Source organism: Homo sapiens, chromosome 5 (assembly GCF_000001405.40).
Source record: "Homo sapiens chromosome 5, GRCh38.p14 Primary Assembly".
NCBI classification, from domain to species: domain Eukaryota; kingdom Metazoa; phylum Chordata; class Mammalia; order Primates; family Hominidae; genus Homo; species Homo sapiens.
In genome coordinates, this window is record NC_000005.10 from 25,615,247 (window position 1) to 25,634,966 (window position 19,720).

The following is a 19,720-nucleotide window of genomic DNA, read 5'->3' on the forward strand; positions in this document are numbered from 1 at the left end:
TCAACATGCGGGACTTGCATGAGCATTTCTTGCAGGGCAGGTCTAGTTGTAACAACTCTGTAGGCTGTTGTAGCTGTCCCTATGCCAACGATCAGGCTGAGATGTAAACTTAAGGTCTTCTCAGGTCTTTTCTAAGCCTGTACCTTACCATTGGCATGTTCTATGATTTCATTTTCTAATTTCTTCCATATGTGCAATTGCTTTTGAATGTTCTAGTCTTTAATATCTGGATCCCGAGAAGGGAAAAACAGAAAAACATAGGAGGGGCTGGGGGACGCGCTGGCCCTTTAAATCTCCTGGAAATCGCTTCAGCTGGAGAGGAGCTTGCAACAATGTGGGGAGGAAAGAAAACAAAGGCCATCTGCTATATCTTTGTCTGCATCACTGTGATCAGAAGCAGCACTCAATAGTCCAACACAGACCCAAGATATTTGGAGAACATGGTCGTTTTTGTTCACCCTGGTTTTCCCAAGCTGCATGCAACCTGCTCCTAGAACACGTGCATGGCAACAGAGCTGGGTGTGTGGAGTGGGAGCTGCTAAGTGGGTAGCTGCTTTCAGTGAAGAGCTGAAATTGACCACAATTAATCACAATTTATTGCCCAAGAATCCCCCTGGAAGTTGCAAGCCTTCAGTAAATACCAGAGTTCTGAAATAGTTATATTACACAGATTCTTCAAGTACAATTTTTGTCTAGATGGGGAACCAGATTCCCGATGATTCCTGCCCTGCCATCTTCCCAAACCTCTCTCACATTACTTTTAAGTGATATAACCATGTCACTGGAACAACTGGCCCAACATCCCCAAAATCTGACACTTCATACTTCACTGCTATGTATATAAAATACAATCTATATTTTTACCTCTTTTTGATTAAGTTACCAGGACTGAGTACAGAGGCTTAGGATACTGCTGACCACTAGAAACTGAATTGATCTCTTAAACTCACATTAAGCAGCATTTAGAAGAATTGGTGGTCAGCAGCAAATAGGTTAAAATCAGACAGACAGAACAAGTGAGGAAAACAGAATACAGATACCATGATTGGAATTAATATGGAATAATTCTATAATATATCATGTCCTGATACATTTAATGAATTTCTCCTTTCTATGACAGATAATTCTACTTTTTTTAACTAAAAAAGTAAAAAAAGTAACCATTATAACCTTAGAGAATAAAGTATTTTTTTCCTGTCTGATCTATTTTATCTGCCTCACTTCTGTCTTGGACCTTTACAATATTTTATTCTGTATCTATTTTCTCTGTTCCAGCATGAAGACAACAATCTCTGGGGACCTGAATGCCACAATGTGAATTTGATGCAGTTGCAAGATAAAAGAATTGACTTATCAGGGCTACTATTCTAGGGACACTTGTGTCAACTTAAATGAAAAAAATCTTGAAGAAATTTATTTGAAAAAACATCTTGGTAAACGTGAGAAATATATTACAGAAATGTAATGTACACATTTACCTTTGATGCAAAAGATATAAAGTGTTTTGTGACTTCTTTGCCTACCACTAACTTTAAGATGTAAAAAGAAAGAGACATAAACACAAACAACACAAAAACAAAGAACTGTTATGATATATTAAAAGGGTTAGAATACCATATAGGTGCACACACATATACACACAAATGAAGATGGCTACAGACCAGACTAGAGTAGAACAAAAGTTGATTATTATCAGCAAGAATTTATAGGTACAGAAATATAAATATATGAATCTATATAGACATATGTATCATTTTAAATTGTAAAGAAAGATTTCTTCTATAAAATGTCCTTCCATTTTTGATACATATTTTTCAAAAATTAAAATCATTTTCCGACATAAGTAAATTTTTAAAGAATTTTCCAGAAAATTTAAGATTTCTAGTTTTCAAATAAAAAATTCAAGATAATGGAAATGTACAAGAAACCTTAGAGAAAAAAAAAATAAACCAGAGAACAGAAAAAACAAAATTGTCAATATTTTAAAATTAGTGTAGTGTAAACTAAAAAGAAATTTGCATCCATAAAACAAAGTCTGACTGTTTAAAAAGGACCATTTAGACAAGGAGAAAGAGTGTGTAAATATATATGAGTAATAAACCTAGAAAATAATCACTAAATAGCAGAAGGGCATTTGGAAGAATTCTGAATAATCTAAGACAAAGACAAATAAAAGGCAAACAGAAAATAAAAGTTAAATAAATAAGGACCGTTTCAACAGTCCAAACTCACTTACTATTTTAACTAGAGAATATAAATGGGGAAATATTGAAAAACAATAGCAGAAAATACTCATTAAACAAAGTTATATCCTCAACTAGAAAGCATCTATTTGCCAAGTAGTTTGAACTGAAAGAGGCCAAAATGCATACACTTGTGTGTGTGGGTGGGTGGGTGAAATTTAAAGTATCAGAGATGGAATGAAAAACTGAAATGCTTCTAGAAAGAAAGGCATACTTACAAAGTAAAACAATAATCCGATTGCCATAAAGCTTTTCATATGTTCACATAATAGAAGAAATGAAGCAATGCCTTCAATTTTGTAAAAGAAAATAGTTAAACTTATAATTTTATACCCCATTCATATCACCAACCATGATATATGAATAACATATTTATGGAAAACAATAACTTATGATTTTTACCACCTGCATATGCTCTAAGGATTAAGTAATTAGAGAATATGCTAAAAAAATAGAAAAAAATAATATCTGAAAAAATGTCAAGGAAACAAGGGAACTAGCCAAGGGTTCAGTTGAAGTTATTCAGGGATAATTACTATTCAATAAGGTTCAGAATCCATAGGTCCAAGTTACATGAGGGATTCAATTGTGTCCAATGTCTAAGAAGAAATTAATGTGATTTCCTAAATAATGTTGTTAGGAAGTTGACTGATTTTTATAAAAATGTATCAAAAAAGACATTGCCAATATAAGGTAGTAAATAAAATTAGTATTACACTTCTAACATTATAATGTGGTAAACTACAGTTTATTTTTCTCGTTTACTAGCCTATGGCTATTTTTGGGTAGTTAAATATTCCTGAGTAGTGCTATCTGTACGTTTATAAGATTTATTTTCTACTCATTCCAAATCTTCCAATTTGGTATGGCATTCACATGTTCATAGTATTATAAATGTTGTCATTAATTATTAGGTTTTTAATTAATCTTTACCCATAAAACGCTGCCACTCAGGAGAGTGGCGTGAAACCAGGAGGTGGAGCTTGCAGTGAGCCCAGTGAACTGAGATCGCGCCACTGCACTCCAGCCTGGGCGACAGAGAGAGACTCCGTCTCAAAAATAAATAAATAAATAAATAAAGGCTGCCGTCACTATAGTTGAAAAATATAATTTGAAAGTATGAAGATTTAGCACCTTAAAGAAAATATTTAGAAAAAAATGTAGTTCAGAAGATGAAGCAGCATCCTTGAAAGAGAGAAACATTCTTTATGGCTAAAAAGAAATAGGTATTTTAGAGCATTGCAAGGAGCCCTAAAGTTATCTGCTGGAATACTTTGAAAATAAATTCAATCAATACCCTGAAAGTTGATCTATCAAGAAATAGTAATATAAGCCTATTATGCAGACCTACCAATGTGACTAATAGAATAAATAAATATAAAGCAGTTAGATGTCTTTACTTCTGAGGCATCACAGTTTAAAAATTCGTTGACCTGTAATTTGTGGCTATCACTAGGGAGTATAATGTGAAAGGTAACATTCTGTTTAAACGTGATAAGCATGTGTTATTTTGAAATGGACTTGAAGCTCTTTGGTGGCAGCAAAGGATAGGACATTTTTAGTATTCTACTATTCTGTCTTCTTCTCTCAGTCTAAGCACATGAGCTGATTATATTTCCTGGTGTTGAATTAGGCCCAGACTTTTGATAAGCCCTGTATCAATCACAAATGCAGAAATGAACAAACAGAACACAAATGCAGTGAGAGATGTGAAATTTGAAGCTGTTTGAAGTGCTAAATTACCACAAGGACTACGGCTGCATTGCAGATGTCCTGATGTTTTCAAAGCAGACCTTCCATAAGAAAAAAAGAAACTTTTATCATATTAAGTGGTTGAGATTTTGGTGACATTTATTATGTCAGCATTGCAGTAATATTAAGGGCAACAGAAGAAGAAAACTGTCATAATCATTGTAAATTTAAACCAACTAATTGTGAAAGACCAGAGAATATTGAGCAACACTCTCATTCCTTATTTTCCTGCATGAATATGAGATGATTAGGAGACTAGATAAAGTTATATGAATTCATGAAGACTAGGGCTATATATAAATTTTGTAATGTCATCTTTTGTGAAAAATATAAACAGGAACCACTTCCAATAATTTTTCATGCTCAAAGTTCAGATGCTTTCTACTTTAATATCTGTAATTAACCACTTCACTCAAGCTTTTGTGAAACTTCAGTCCATTTCCTCTATATTTTATCAAGCTGTCAAAATTATTTATGTATCTACATTTCCAAGTATTCTGGTGTTCAAATAACATTTTTCTGCTGGTTAGTATTCATCTTAACCTAACTCAATATATTATTTTTTGCCAATAAAACCTATCATTGAAAATATTCCTTTACATCCATAAACAACTACCTATAAGGTGTATTTTTATTTAGATTACTTAACAAATATTTTAATTTTCCAGCTCAAGATCTTTCTTTTGCCGGGCGCGGTGGCTCATGCCTGTTATCCTAACACTTTGGGAGGCTGAGATGGGCGGATCACCTGAGGTCAGAGGTTTGAGATCAGTCTGGCCAACATGGTGAAACGCTGTCTCAACTAAAAATACAAAAATTAGCTGGGCATGGTGGCACATGCCTGTAATCCCAGCTACTCGGGAGGCTGAGGCAGGAGAATCGCTTGAACCCAGGAGGTGGAGGTTGCAGGGAATGGAGATTGCACCACCGCACTTCAGCCTGGGCGACACACACACACACACACACACACACACACGGATTTTTCTTTTAATGTAAAACTAAAAATTAGCCACAAACATGTTTTTATCTATAATTATCTAAATGGAATAAAGGAAGTGTGTTTATATTCATCTCAATAACCATTTTATAGCCAAATAATTTCAAGAAATAGCTACATTTGCATTGATGTATGTGAACAAAATTATTTATTAAATGCAATTTAGAGTTATTAAGTTAAATTATATTTTCAAATTTGCCACTAATATTTAGAAATACACGAAAGACATCTGAACAACTTTAGGGAAAATAATGAAAAGAGGAAAATATACACAATTCAAATAAATAAAGGCAAGAATGAAGGAACAATGAATATAGAAAAGCAGAGCAAAGAGACAGCAAAAAATAAGATGATAGAAATAATCCAGAAGAAGAAAAAAATACTAAAAAGTAAACATATTAACTCCCAGTTCAAAGTCATTCAGTCTCAAACTTCATAAAAAACTCAAATATTTCATTGTAGGCCATTCAGAAGACACATACCTAAATATAAGCCAACTGTTTGTTGAAAGTAAAGTGAAAGATAGGCATATTCCAAGCAGATACGTACCCAGAGAAGACTAGGTAATATCTTATTGGACAATAATATGCATAAGGCAAAAAAATTAAGTAAAATCGCACACAATGATGCAAGATTCAGTATACCAAGAGGATAAAACAAGTATTGTAAGGATGTTAAACCAAAGTAAATTAAAAAATAACAACCCCAAAACCTTAGGAAACAACTAGGCATTAACAAATAATTCTGAACATGCTCATAATGTAAGTAAAGCTATTGTACTCCATTTATATATCTAAAAATATACCTGGTGGTATTCACGTGACATCTTCATTTGCAATAGCAAAAAATTCTGCCCATGAAAATTTAAGTAGATGAATACAGTATTCATTATTTCTGTATGACCATGAAAAAACATAAAGCTACGCTAATTAAAAGGAATGTGTATTAAAAAGTTTCAATGAATATATTTAGAATGAAATATATATATTTATATATATCAAAGTACATTCATACAAATATTTAAAAGAATTGAACTAAAGAATATATGTACCTAGATATTACATATCTATTTTGTAAAGGGAGAAAGATATGACAGGGCATCTCACAATAACTTTTAATTGCTCTGATTCTGTGTGATTTTCTTAAGCTTGCTTGTAGCTAACAATCCATGCATATTTGTTTATTACATCTCTGTAACCTGGCCACTTTTAGAATATTTTTACATGTCATATTTTGTAATTAAAAAATAATTTAAAACATTAAAGGTCACTTTGTGACAGTACTGAAGGAAAGTTTAAGTGTTAACGTACAGGTATGCACATATAATTGGAATGATGTAGCCATGAGTTAATTTTCCTCCAACATTTTCTTGTATCAAAATATTTAATCAATTGAGGTATATTTTATGGCAAAAAATTAACTATAAAAATTCATCTTTACAGACAATGAATTTATTTCTTGGTTATATATTATCTTTGATATGTCACAAAAATAACATTATAATCTAAAGAATCAATTTATGTAATAGTTTTTTACTTATAAGAAAAAATAAAGCAAGATTTAATATTGAGCCAGTAACATATTTAATTGCAGTAGGAACTTGATAGGTATACATCAGCTTCCAACAGTTCAATAGTATTAAGCATAATTGTCAGAAAGCAAAGAAGTCTTTTCACGATCTATTTCCTTTGGCATTACATTTTGAGATTCATTTTGAAATTGTCTGTCCTGACAAAATAGAGAACTGTGTACAATGATAATATTCAAGTCAAAACAATCATATTGAATACTGTAAATACATGAATATGCATACTTTTAATTTTTAGTTCTGTATTTAATAATAAATTCTAACTCAAGATTATAACAGAACACATCAAATTTATGTAATGTTTACCTTTGTTTCAGAAAAAAACTTCTGTTCAAAGAAGATAAGCTATAATGCAAAATATTTACATACAGTTGTTGATTTTTTTCTCTATAGATTTTAGTTTTAATTCTGTATATGTTTACAAGCATAAACTATTCATAATTCTGTATATTTTTAGGTCACATTTATAAGTAAATAATTGTTATAAATGAACTCAAAAAATATGTGGGGCTTTTTATTTTAAATTAATTGAAAATTATTTGGTATATGGCTAATATTGGCTGTTCGCTGTTTTAAGAGCTAGAAATACCCTAATTAAAAAAAAAAGAAATAAGAACCCTTATCCTCTGGAAGTTTTCCCTTCTAAAAGATAAACTTCTCAAGGTAGCACCTCATGAAAAAAGAACTGTCATAAGCATATAAAATTGTTCCTGTATTTCTTTATTTTTTGATTTTTATTTTAGATTCGGGGTACACATGCATGTTTGTTATATAGATAAGCTGCCTGTCATGGGGGTTTTGCATACAGATTATTTTATCACCCAGGTAATAAGCATAGGACCCAATGGGTATTTTGGGTCATCTTTTCCCTCCTCCCACCCTCCACCTTCAAGTAGGCTGGTTGTGTGTTTTTACCCCTTTTGTGTCCACGTATACCTGATGTTTGGCTCTCACTTATAAGTAGGAACATGCAATATTTGGTTTTCTTTTTCTGTGTTAGTTTGCTTTATCTCTATCCATGTTGCTGTTGTTTATTATGGCTGAGTAATATTCCATGGTGTATATGAACCACACTGTTTTTATTCAGTCTACCAATAATGGGCATTTAGGTTGATTCTGTGTCTTTGCTATTGTGAATAGTGCTGCAATGAACATATACATGCATGTGTCCTTATGGTATAATAGAACCATTTTTATTCCTTTGGGAATATACTCAATTATGAGATTTCTGGGTAGGGCAGTAACTCCAGTTTGAGTTTTGAGGAAACCACGCTGCTTTTCACAATGGCTGAATGAACTTACACTCCCACCAGCAGTGTATAAGCATTCTGTTTCTCTGCACCCTTGCTGGCATTTGTTATTTTTTGGCTTTAAATAATAGCCATTATGACTGGTGTGAGATGATATTTAATTGTGGTTTTGATTTGCATTTCTCTAATGATTAGTGATGTTGAGCCTTTTTTCATATGCTTGTTGGACACATGTATGTCTTTTGAAAAGTATCTTTTCATGTCTTTTGCCCACTTTTTAATGTGGTTGTTTTTTTGCCTGTGAAGTTTGGTACAGATTCTGGATATTAGACTTTTGTCAGATTCATAGTTTGCAAATATTTTATCCCATTTTGTAAGATGTCTGTTTACCCTGTTGATAGTTTCCTTTACTACGCAAAAGCTCTTTAGTTTAATTTGGTCCTATTTGTCAATTTTTGTTTTTGTTGCAATGGTTTTTGGAGTCTTTGTCATGAAATCTCTGCTAGGTCCTATATTGATAATTGTATTTTTTAGATTATTTTACCAGGTTTTTATAGTTTTAGGTTTTATGTGTAAGTCTTTAATCCACCTTGAGTGATTTTTTTGTATACAATTACAAAATTGTATATAATTTTGTTGAAAATTAAACAACCTCTTCCTGAATGACTTTTGGGTAAATTAAAAAATTAACGCAGAAATCAAGAAATTATTTGAAAGTAATGAGAACAAAGATAAAATACCAAAATCTCTGGAAAATGGCTAAAGCAGAGTTAACAGTAAAGTTTATAGCACCAAAATGCCCAAATTAAAAAGTTAGAAATATATATTAAATTAACAACCTAGCATCATAATTACTGGAACTAGAGAAACAAGAGCAAACCAACTCCAAAGCTAGCAGAAGACAAAGAGTAACCAAAATCTGAGCTGAACTGAAGAAAATGAGATGCAAAAATAAAACCAACCATACAAAAAATCAATGAATCCAGGTGTTGTTCCACTAAAAAAATTAATAAAATTGATAAACAACTAATGAGACTAATGAAGAAAAAAGAGAGAAGATCCAAATAAAGATATTTAGAAATGACAAAGTTTACATTACAATTGACCAAACAGGAATACAAATAACAATCAGATAATATTTTGAATAGTTCTATGCAAACAAACTAGAAAATCTAGAAGAAATAGGTAAATTTGTGAACACATACAACTTCCCAAGACTAAACCAGGAAGAAACTGGATTGCTGAACAGATCAATAATGAGTTCCAAAATTGAATCAATAATAAAAAGCTTATTAATGAAAAACAAAAACAAAAACAAAAACAAAAACAAAAACAAAAACAAAACAAAACAAAAAAAAGCCCAGGACCAGAGAGAGTCACAGCCAATTTCTACCAGATGTATAAAGTAGAGCTGGTACCATTCCTACTGAAACTACTCCAAAAAATTGAGGAGGAATGAGTTTTCCCTAACTCATTTTGTGAGGCCAACATCATCATGATACCAAAACCTGTCACAGACAAAGCAAAAAAAGAAAACCTCACGCTAATATCCTTGAACATAGATGCAAAAATTCTCAAGGAAATCCTAGCAAACTGAATCCAGCAGCACATTGAAAAGCTAATTCACCATGAGCAATTAGGCTTTGTCCCTGGGATGTAAAGTTGGTTCCTTTATTTCTTGATAACATCAAGAGATTTCTATGATGCCAATAACTAGACAATGGCATTCACATGCATATGAGGATCAGAGTCTCAGGAATAGTTAATAACAATGGAAAAAAAATTTATTTACCATATGGAATATAAACCTCTAATACAGTAAACAGTTGGAAAATGTTTATAAAGCTAGTTTTGCATAATATATCTATATCAAAGTTCCTTGACTTACAATGGGGTTATGCACTGAAAAATCCATCATTAATTGAAAATATCTAAGTCTAAAATGCATTTAATACATCTAGCCTACCAAGCACTTTTGCTTAGTCTAAACTACCTTGACCATGCTCAGAACACTTACATTAGTCTATACTTGGGTAAAATCATCTAACGCAAAGTCTATTTTATAATAAAGTGTTGAATATCTCATGTCATTTATTGAATACTGTACCAAATGTGAAAAACAGTTGTATGGGTACTCATCATTAATATACCCAGCTAAAAGCATACTGAGCCTGAAGAATATTTGAAGCACCGAACTAAAGTTAAATGTTGGATAATGAGGCTATTATAGTGACAGGGTCATTGATGTAGTTTGGCTGTGTCCCCACCCAAATCTCACCTTGAATCGTATTAATCCCCACATGTCAAGGATGGGGCCAGTTGGAGATAATTGAATCATGGGGGTGGTTCCCCCATACCATTGTCACGATAGTGAATAAATCTTATGAGATCTGATGGTTTTATAAATGGGAGCTCCCCTGCACAAATTATCTTGCCTTCCACCATGTAAGACATGACTTTGTACCTCCTTGCCTCACACCATGATTGTAAGGCATCCCTAGCCACATGGAACTGTGAGTCAATTAAACCTCTTTTCTTTATAAATTACCCAGTCTTGAGTATTTTTTTATTAGCAGTGTGAGAACAGACTAATACAGTCATCAACTTCTGTCTCTTCTGATGAGGCTCAAGAACAGCTGTTAGAAGGTACTGGGGCATGGGCTGAGCATGGTGGCTCACCCTTGTAATCCCAGCACTTTGGGAGGCCGAGGTGGGTGGATCACTTGAGGTCAGGAGTTTGAGACTAGCTGGCCAACATGGTGAAACCCCATCTCTACTAAAAATACAAAAAAATTAGCCAGGGGTGGTGGCACATGCCTGTAATCCCAGCTACTCGAGAAGCTGAGGCATGAAGAATCACTTGAACCCGGGAGGTGCAGGTTGCAGTGAGCCAAGATCATGCCACTGCACTCCAACCTGGGTGACAGAGTGAGACTTTGTCTCAGAAAAAAAAAAAAAAGATACAAAGATACTGGGGCATGGATATTTGCTGGTTTAGCAAATCTAGGGTTCTTCAGGAAAATATAAAGTATCCATTGTTTTCCATCATAATTCTGAAAGAGACTGGGAGCTGTGGCTTGCTGCTGCTGCCCAGCATCAGGAGATAGCATCTTACTGTGCATTGCTAGCCCGGGAAAATATCAGAATTTAAAATTTAAAGTACAATTTTTATTGAATGTGTATTGCTTTCCCAACATTTTAGTAGAAAAACTTTAAGTCAAAGAATTGTTAAGTCAAGAATCATCTGTATTTAAATTTAATATACTGTTCAACACTTAGTTACCCCTCTTGGTGATGTTTTACTACCAAATATTTTGAATCAAATTTCACAATTTATATTTCCCTAACTGATATCAAGCATATTTTAGGCATTGAATCTATTAAAATATCTTTTTAGAGATAAATAATTTAGACATTTAAATATAAGTGACCAGAAATATTATCTTTTCTTATAATTTGAAATATCAAATACTTGAGCATACATTTTTTAAATCACTTGGTCTTGATTATATCTTGGCAATTCTTCAAAATAATTGTGACTATAAATGCACTGGTAAGATGTAAAATGAATAATGTCATTATTTAAAAACTTAGTGGCCAAGATGGCCAAATAGGAACAGCTCCAATCTGCAGCTCCCAATGAGACCAACTCAGAAGGCAGGTGATTTCCAACTGAGGTACCCAGTTCATCTCACTGGGACTTGTTAGTCAGTGGGTCCAAACCAAAGAGAGAGAGCAGAAGCAGGGGTGGGTATCACTTCACCTGGGAAGTACAAGGAGCCAGGGACTTCCTTTCCCAAGCCAAGGGAAGCCTTGAGGGACTGTGCTACCCGGCCGGGTTACTATGCTTTTTCCATCATTTTTGCGATCTGCAGATCAGGAGAATCCCTTGTGTGCCTACACCACAAGGGCCCTGGGTTTCAAGCACAAAACTGGGCCGCTATTTGGGCAGACACCAAGCTAGCTGCAGAAGTATTTTTTTGTGCCCCTGTGGCACCTGGAACCTCAGTGAGACAAAACCGTTCACTTCCCTGGAAAGGTGGCTGAAGCCATAGAACCAAGTGATCTCACTCAATGAGTCCCACTCCCACAGAGCCCAGCAAGCTAAGAACCACTGACTTGAAATTCTTACTGCCAGCACAGCAGTGTGAAGTCGACCTGGGATGATCAAGCTTGGTGGGGTGAGGGGCGTCTGCCATTACTGAGGCTTTAGTAGGTGATTTTCCCCTTACAGTGCTAAGGAGGCTGGGAGGTATGAGCTGGGTGCAGCAAAGTGGCTGTGGCCAGCCTGCTTCTCTAGATTCCTCCTCAGTGGGCAGGGCATCTCTGAAGGAAAGGTAACAGCCCCAGTCAGGGCCTTATAGAAAAAAACCCCATCTTCCTGGAACAGAGCACCTGGGGGAAGGGGCAGTTGTGGGCTCAGCTTCACCGGATTTAATTATTCCTCCCTGCTGGCTCTGAAGAGAGCAGCTGATCCTGACAGGAGGGATTCTCCCATCACAGTGTACCAGCTCTAAGGAACAGACTGCCTCCTCAGCTGGGTCCCTGACACCCATGCCACCTGACTGGGTGAAACCTCCCAACAGGGGTCGACAGAGACCTCATACGGGAGAGTTCTGGCTGGCATCTGGCAGGTGCCCCTCTGGGATGAAGCTTACAAAGGAAGGAGCAGGCAGCAATCCTTGCTGTTCTGTAGCCTCCGTTGGTGACACCCAGGTGAACAGGGTCTGGAGTGGACTTCCAGCAAACTGCAGCAGACCTGCAGAAGAAGGACCTGACTGTTAGAAGAAAAACTAACAAACAGAAAGCATCAACATCAACATCAACATAAAGGACTCCCACACAAAAACCCTGTCCAAAGGTTGTCAGCCTCAAAGATCAAAGGTAGATAAATCCATGAGGACGAGGAAAAACCAATACAAAAATGCTGAAAACTACAAAAGCCAGAATGCTTCTTCTCCAAATGATCGCAACTCCTCTCCAGCAAGGGCACAAAACTGGGCAGAGAATGAGATGACAAATTGACAGAAGTAGGGTTCAGAAGGTGGGTAATAACAAACTCCACGAGATAAAGGAGCATGTTCCAACCCAATGCAAGGAAGCTAAGAACCTTGATAAAAGGTTACAGGAACTGCTAACCAGAATAACTAGTTTAGAGAGGAACATAAATGACCTGATGGAGCTGAAAAACACAGCACCAGAACTTCATGAAGCATACACAAGTGTCAATAGCCAAATCAATCAAGTTGAAGAAAGGATATCAGAGATTGAAGATCAACTTAATGAAATAAGGCATGAAGACAAGATTAGAGAAAAAAATAATGGAAAGGAACAAACAAAGCCTCCAAGAAAGATAGGACTATATGAAAAGATCAAACCTATGACTGATTGGTGTACCTGAAAGTGACAGGGAGAAGCTGGAAAACAAATTTCAGGATATTATCCAGGAGAACTTCCCCAACCTAGAAAGATAAGCCAACATTCAGATTCAATAAATGCAGAGAACACCACAAAGATACTCCTCGAGAAGAGCAACCCCAAGACACATAATCATCAGATTCTCCAAGGCTGAAACAAAGAAAAAAATACTAAGGGCAGCCAGAGAGAAATGTCAGGTTATCCACAAAGGGAAGCTCATCTGACTAACAGTGGCTCTCTGAAGAAACCCTACAAGCCAGAAGAGAGTGGGGGCCAATATTCAACATTCTTAAAGAAAAGAATTTTCAAGCCAAAATTTCATATCCAACCAAACTAAGCTTCATAAACAAAGGAGAAATAAAATTCTTTCCATACAAGCAAATGCTGAGATATTTTGTCACCACCAGGCCTGCCTTACAAGAGCTCCTGAAGGAAGATCTAAATATGGAAAGGAAAAACTGATGCCAGCCACTGAAAAAACATACCAAAATATAAAGACCAATGACACTATGAAGAAACTGCATCAACTAATGTACAAAATAACCAGCTAGCATCATGATGACAGGATCAAATTCACACATAACAAGATTAACCTTAGGCCAGGCCCTGTGGCTCACGCCTGTAGTCCCAGCACTGGGGCGAGGTGGGTGGATCACTAAGTCAGGAATTCGAGACCAGCCTGGCCAACATGGCAAAACCCCATCTCTACAAAAAATACAAAAATTAGCTGGGCTTGGGCTGGGCATGTGTAATCCTAGCTACTCAGGAGGCTGAGGCAGGAGAATTGCTTGAATCCGGGAGGTGCGGGTTGCAGTGAACCCGAGATTGTGCCACTGTGCTCCAGCCTGGGCAACAAAGCAAGACTCCAGCTCAAAAAAAGAAAAAAAAATTAACCTTAATTGTAAATAGGCTAAATGCTCCCAAATAAAAGACACAGACTGGAAAATTGGTTAGAGAGTTGAGACCCACTGGTCTGCTATATTCAGGAGACCCATCTCACATGCAAAGACACACAGGCTCAAAATAAAGGGAGAGAAGAATATTTACCAAGCAAATGGAAAGCAAAAAAAAAGCAAGGGTTGCAATCCTAGTCTCTTATATAACAGAATTTAAACCAAAAATGATCAAAAAAGACAAAGAAGGGTATTACATAATGGTAAAGGGATCAATACAACAAGAAGAGCTAACTATTCTAAATGTATATGCACCCAATACAGGACCACCCAGCTTCATAAAACAAGTTCTTAGATACCTACCAAGAGACTTAGTCTTTCACAAAATAATAGTGGGAGACTTTAACACCCAATGTCAATTTTAGACAGATAAACAAGACAGAAAATTAACAAGGATGTTTAGGACTTGAACTCAGCTCTGGATCAAGTGGATCTAATAAACATCTACAGAACTACTCTCCACCCCAAATCAACAGAATATATATTCTTCTCAGTGCCATATAGCACATATTCTAAAATTGACCACGTAATTGGAAGTAAAACACTCCTCAGCAAATGCAAAAGAATGGCAGTCATAACTAATAGTCTCTCAGACCACAGTGCAAACAAATTAAAACTCAGGATTAAGAAACTCACTCAAAACCACACAACTACGTGGAAATTTAACAATCTGCTCCTGAATGACTACTGGGTAAATAACAAAATTAAGGCAAAAATAAATAAGTTATTTGAAACCAATGAGAACAAAGACAAAACGTACCAGAATCTCTGGGACACAGCTAAAGCAGTATTAAGAGGGACATTTATAGCACTGAATGACCACAAAAGAAAGCTAGAAAGACCTAAAATTGACACACTAACATCACAATTAAAAGAACTAGAGAAGCAATAGCAAACAAATTCAAAAGCTAGCAGAAGACAAGAAATAACTAAGATCAGAGAAGAACTGAAGGATATAGAGACATGAAAAACCCTTCCAAAAAAAAAAAAATCAATGACTCCAGGAAGTGCTTTTTTTTTGAAAAGATTAACAAAATAGATGGACCACTAGCCAGACTAATAAAGAATAAAAGAGAAAAGAATCAAATAGACATAATAAAAGGTGATAAAGAGGTTATCACCACCAATCCCACAGAAATACAAACTACCCCATCAGAGAATACTATAAAAACCTCTACACAAATGAACTAGAAAAACTAGAAGAAATGGATAAATTCCTGGACACATACACCCTCCCAAGACTAAACCAGGAAGGAGTCAAATCCCTAAATAGACCAATAACAAGTTCTGAAACTGGGGCAGTAATTAATAGCTTACCAACCAAAAAGAGCTCAGGACCAGAGAGATTCACGGCCAAATTCTTTTTTTTTTTAATTTCTTTTTTTTAATTATACTTTAAGTTTTAGGGTACATGTGCACAACGTGCAGGTTTGTTACATATGTATACATGTGCCATGTTGGTGTGCTGCACCCATTAACTCATCATTTAACATTAGGTATATCTCCTAATGCTATCCCTCCCCCCTCACCCCACCCCACAACAGGCCCCGGTGTGAGATGTTCCCCATCCTGTGTCCATGTGTTCTCATTGTTCAATTCCCACCTATGGGTGAGAACATGCGGTGTTTGAATTCTACCAGAGGTACAAAGAGGAGCTGGTACCATTCCTTCTGAAACTATCCCAAACAATAGAAAAAGAGGGACTCCTCCCTAACTCATTTTATGAGGCAGCATCATCCTGATACCAAAATCTGACAGAGATGCAACAAAAAAAGAAAATTTCAGTCCAATATCCCTGGTAAACATCGATCAAAAATCCTTAATAAAAGACTGGCAAACCAAATCTAGCAGCATATTAAAAAGCTTACACATCATGATCAAGTCGACTTTGTCCCTGGGATGCAAGGCTGGTTCAACATACACAAATCAGTAAATATAATCCAACACATAAAGAGAACCAATGACCAAAAAACCATATGATTATCTCAATAGATGCAGAAACAGCCTTCAATATAATTCAACACCCCTTCATGCTAAAAACTCTCAATAAACTAGGTATTGATTAAACATATCTCAAAATAATAAGAGCTATTTATGACAAACCTATAGCCAATACCATACTGAATGGGCAAAAGCTGGAAGCATTCCTTTTGAAAACTGGCACCAGACAAGTATGCCCTCTGTCACCACTCTTATTCAACAGAGTATTGGAAGTTCTGGCCAGGGCAAACAGGCAAGAGAAAGAAATAAAGGGTATTCAAATAGGAAGACAGGAAGTGAAATTGTCTCTGTTTGCAGATGACATGAATGTGTACTTAGAAAAACCCATCGTTTCAGCCCAAAATCTCCTTAAGCTGATAAGTAACTTCAGCAAAGTCTCAGGATACAAAATCAGTGTGCAGAAATCACAAGCATTCCTATACACCAATAATAGACAAGCAGAAAGCCAATAACTGCTGTAAGGACAGTAAAATACCTAGGAATCCAACTTACAATGGATGTGAAGGACCTCTTCAAGGAGAACTACAAACCACTGCTCAAGGAAATAAGAGAGGACAAAAACAAATGGAAAAACATTCCATGCTCATGGATAGGAAAAATCAATATCGTGAAAATGGCCAAACTGTCCAAAGTAATTTATAGATTCAACTGTATTCTCATTAAGCTGCCAGTGACTTCCTTTGCAAAATTAGAAAAAACTACTTTAAATTTCAAATGGAACCAAAAAAGAGCCTGTATAGCCAAGACAATCCTAAGCAAAAAGAACAAAGCTGCAGGCATCATCCTACCTGACTTCAAACAATATTACAAGGCTACAGTAACCAAAACAGCATGGTACTAGTACCAAAACAGATATATAGATCAATGGAACATGACAGAGACCTCAGAAACAACACCACACATCTATATCCATCTGACAAAAACAAGCAATGAGAATTCCCTATTTAATAAATTTTGTGGGGAATACTGGCTAGCCATATGCAGAAAAGAGAAACTGGACCACTCCCTTACACCTTATACAACAATTAACTCAAGATAGATTAGAGATTTAAACGCAAAACTCAAAATCATAAAAACCCTAGAAGAAAACCTAGGCAGTATCATTCAGGACATAGGCATGGGCAAAGACTTCATGACTAAAACACCAAAAGCAATTGCAACAAAAGCCAAAATTCACAAATGGGATCTAGCCAAACTAATGAACTTCTGCACAGCAAAAGAAACTATTATCAGAGTGAAGAGGCAACCTACAGAATGGGAGAAAATTTTTGCAAGCTGCCCATCTGACAAAGGCCTAATATCCAGAATCTACAAGGAACTTAAATTTACAAGAAAAAAAACAAACAACCCCATCAAAAAGTGGGCAAAGGATATGAAAAGACACTTCTCAAAATAAGACGTTTATGCAGCCAACAAACATATGCAAAATGCTCATTATCACTGGTCATTAGAGAAATGCAAATCAAAACCACAATGCGATATTTTCTCATGCCAGTTAGAATGGTGATTATTAAAATGTCAGGAAAGAACAGATGCTGGTGAAGCTGTGGAGAAATAGGAATGCTTTACACTGTAAATTAGTTCAACCATTGTGGAAGACAGTGTGGCAATTCCTCAAGGATCTAGAACCAGAAATACCATTTGATCCAGCAATCCCATTACTGGGCATATACCCAAAGGATAATAAATCATTCTACTATAAAGACGCATGCAGATGTATGATTATTGCAGCACTATTTATAATAGTAAAGACTTCGAATCAACCCAAATGCCCATCAATGATAGACTGGATAAAGAAAATGTGGCACATATACACCAGGAATACTATGCAGCCATAAAAAACATAAGTTCATGTCCTTTGCAGGGACACGGATGAAACTGGAAGCCATCATTCTCAACAAACTACACAGGAAAAACCAAACACCGCATGTTCTCACTAGTATGTGGGAGTTGAATGATGAACACATGGACATAGGGAAGGGAACATCACACACCAGGACCTGTCTTGGGTAGGGCGAGCATTAGGACAAATACCGAATGCATGTGGGGCTTAAAATGTAGATGTTGGGTTGACAGGCGCAGCAAACCACCATGGCACATGTATGCCTACGTAACAAACCTGCACATTCTGCACATGTACCCCAAAACTTAAAATAAAATAAAATAAAACTTATTGAGATCTGAGTTTTTAACATGATGTCACATGTACTACTCTTTTTATATAATTTAAAAATATATTTCCTGTACATGAATAAAATGATTAAAACATAGTATAGCTTTATTAAATTAAAAAAAAACTAGGCCTTAAAGTTTTATTTTGTTGTTATTCAACCATATGTTTGCCAAAAAAAAAAAAAAAACTAAGGTTCTTATGTTTCAGTGTCTCAAATAATTGTTTCTAAATTTTATAAATATTTCTTGGCTCGTTACTTCTGGAAATAGATAAAACCACATGTCACTTAATATATCCCTGAAAGCCAGTCATTGGATTTTATATGTTGGAGAATCAGGGACGAATTCTAAAATGATAATTTACTTTAAGCTGTCTGCTGTATTTCACATATTATATAAGCGATTATAAAGGAGGAAATTGAGCTGGCTGCAATAATTTAAGCAGTCTACCTATTTGTCACGATCATAATAATCTTGCTTTGAATAGAGATGTGCTTCTGCATCTCATGCCTATTTATTATTTATTTTGAGACAGGGTCTCAATCTCTTGCCCATGCTAGAGTACAGTGGTGTTACCATAACTCACTGCAACCTTGAATTTCTGGGCTGAAACCAACCTCCTCTCTCAGCCTTTAGAGTGGCCGGGACTACAGCACACACCACCACGCCCCATTTCTTTTTTTTTTTCTTTTTTTTTGGTAGAGATGGGAGTCATTGTATTTTGGCCAGGCTGGTCTGCAAGTCCTAGGTTCAAGCAATCCTCCTGCTTTGGCCTCCCAAAGTGTTGAAATTACAGGCATGAACCACCACACTCAGCCCACTCATGGATAAGTGAAGCAAATCACTTAGCTTTATTCAGTAACTTTTCAATTCTTGAATCTGGGCCACAACCACATTTTGGGGGACAAGATGCCTACATCTTTTGAGGGCCATTATTCTGTAATACATATTCCAAGGTATATGAAGAAAATATATGTGAGAATAAAATGTGTCTATATGAAAGTGCAAAGATTTATTAACTATCTCTCAATTTTTTTTTCTTTTATTCTTTATAACATTCACTACAAACTTATTTTTTAACTTTTATTTTAGATTCAGGGGTGCATGTGAATGTTTGTTTTACATGTGAATTGCATGTCATGGGGGTTTGGTGTACAAATTATATTGTCACCCAGGTATTAAACATAGTACCCAATAAGTAGTTTTCTGATCCTCATCTGACTTCCACTCTCCATTCTCAAGTATGCCCCAGTGTTTGTTTTTGCTTTATGTTCATATGTACTCAATGCTTAGCTCCCACTTATAAGCAATTACATGTGGTATTTGGTTTTCTGTTCCTTTGTTAG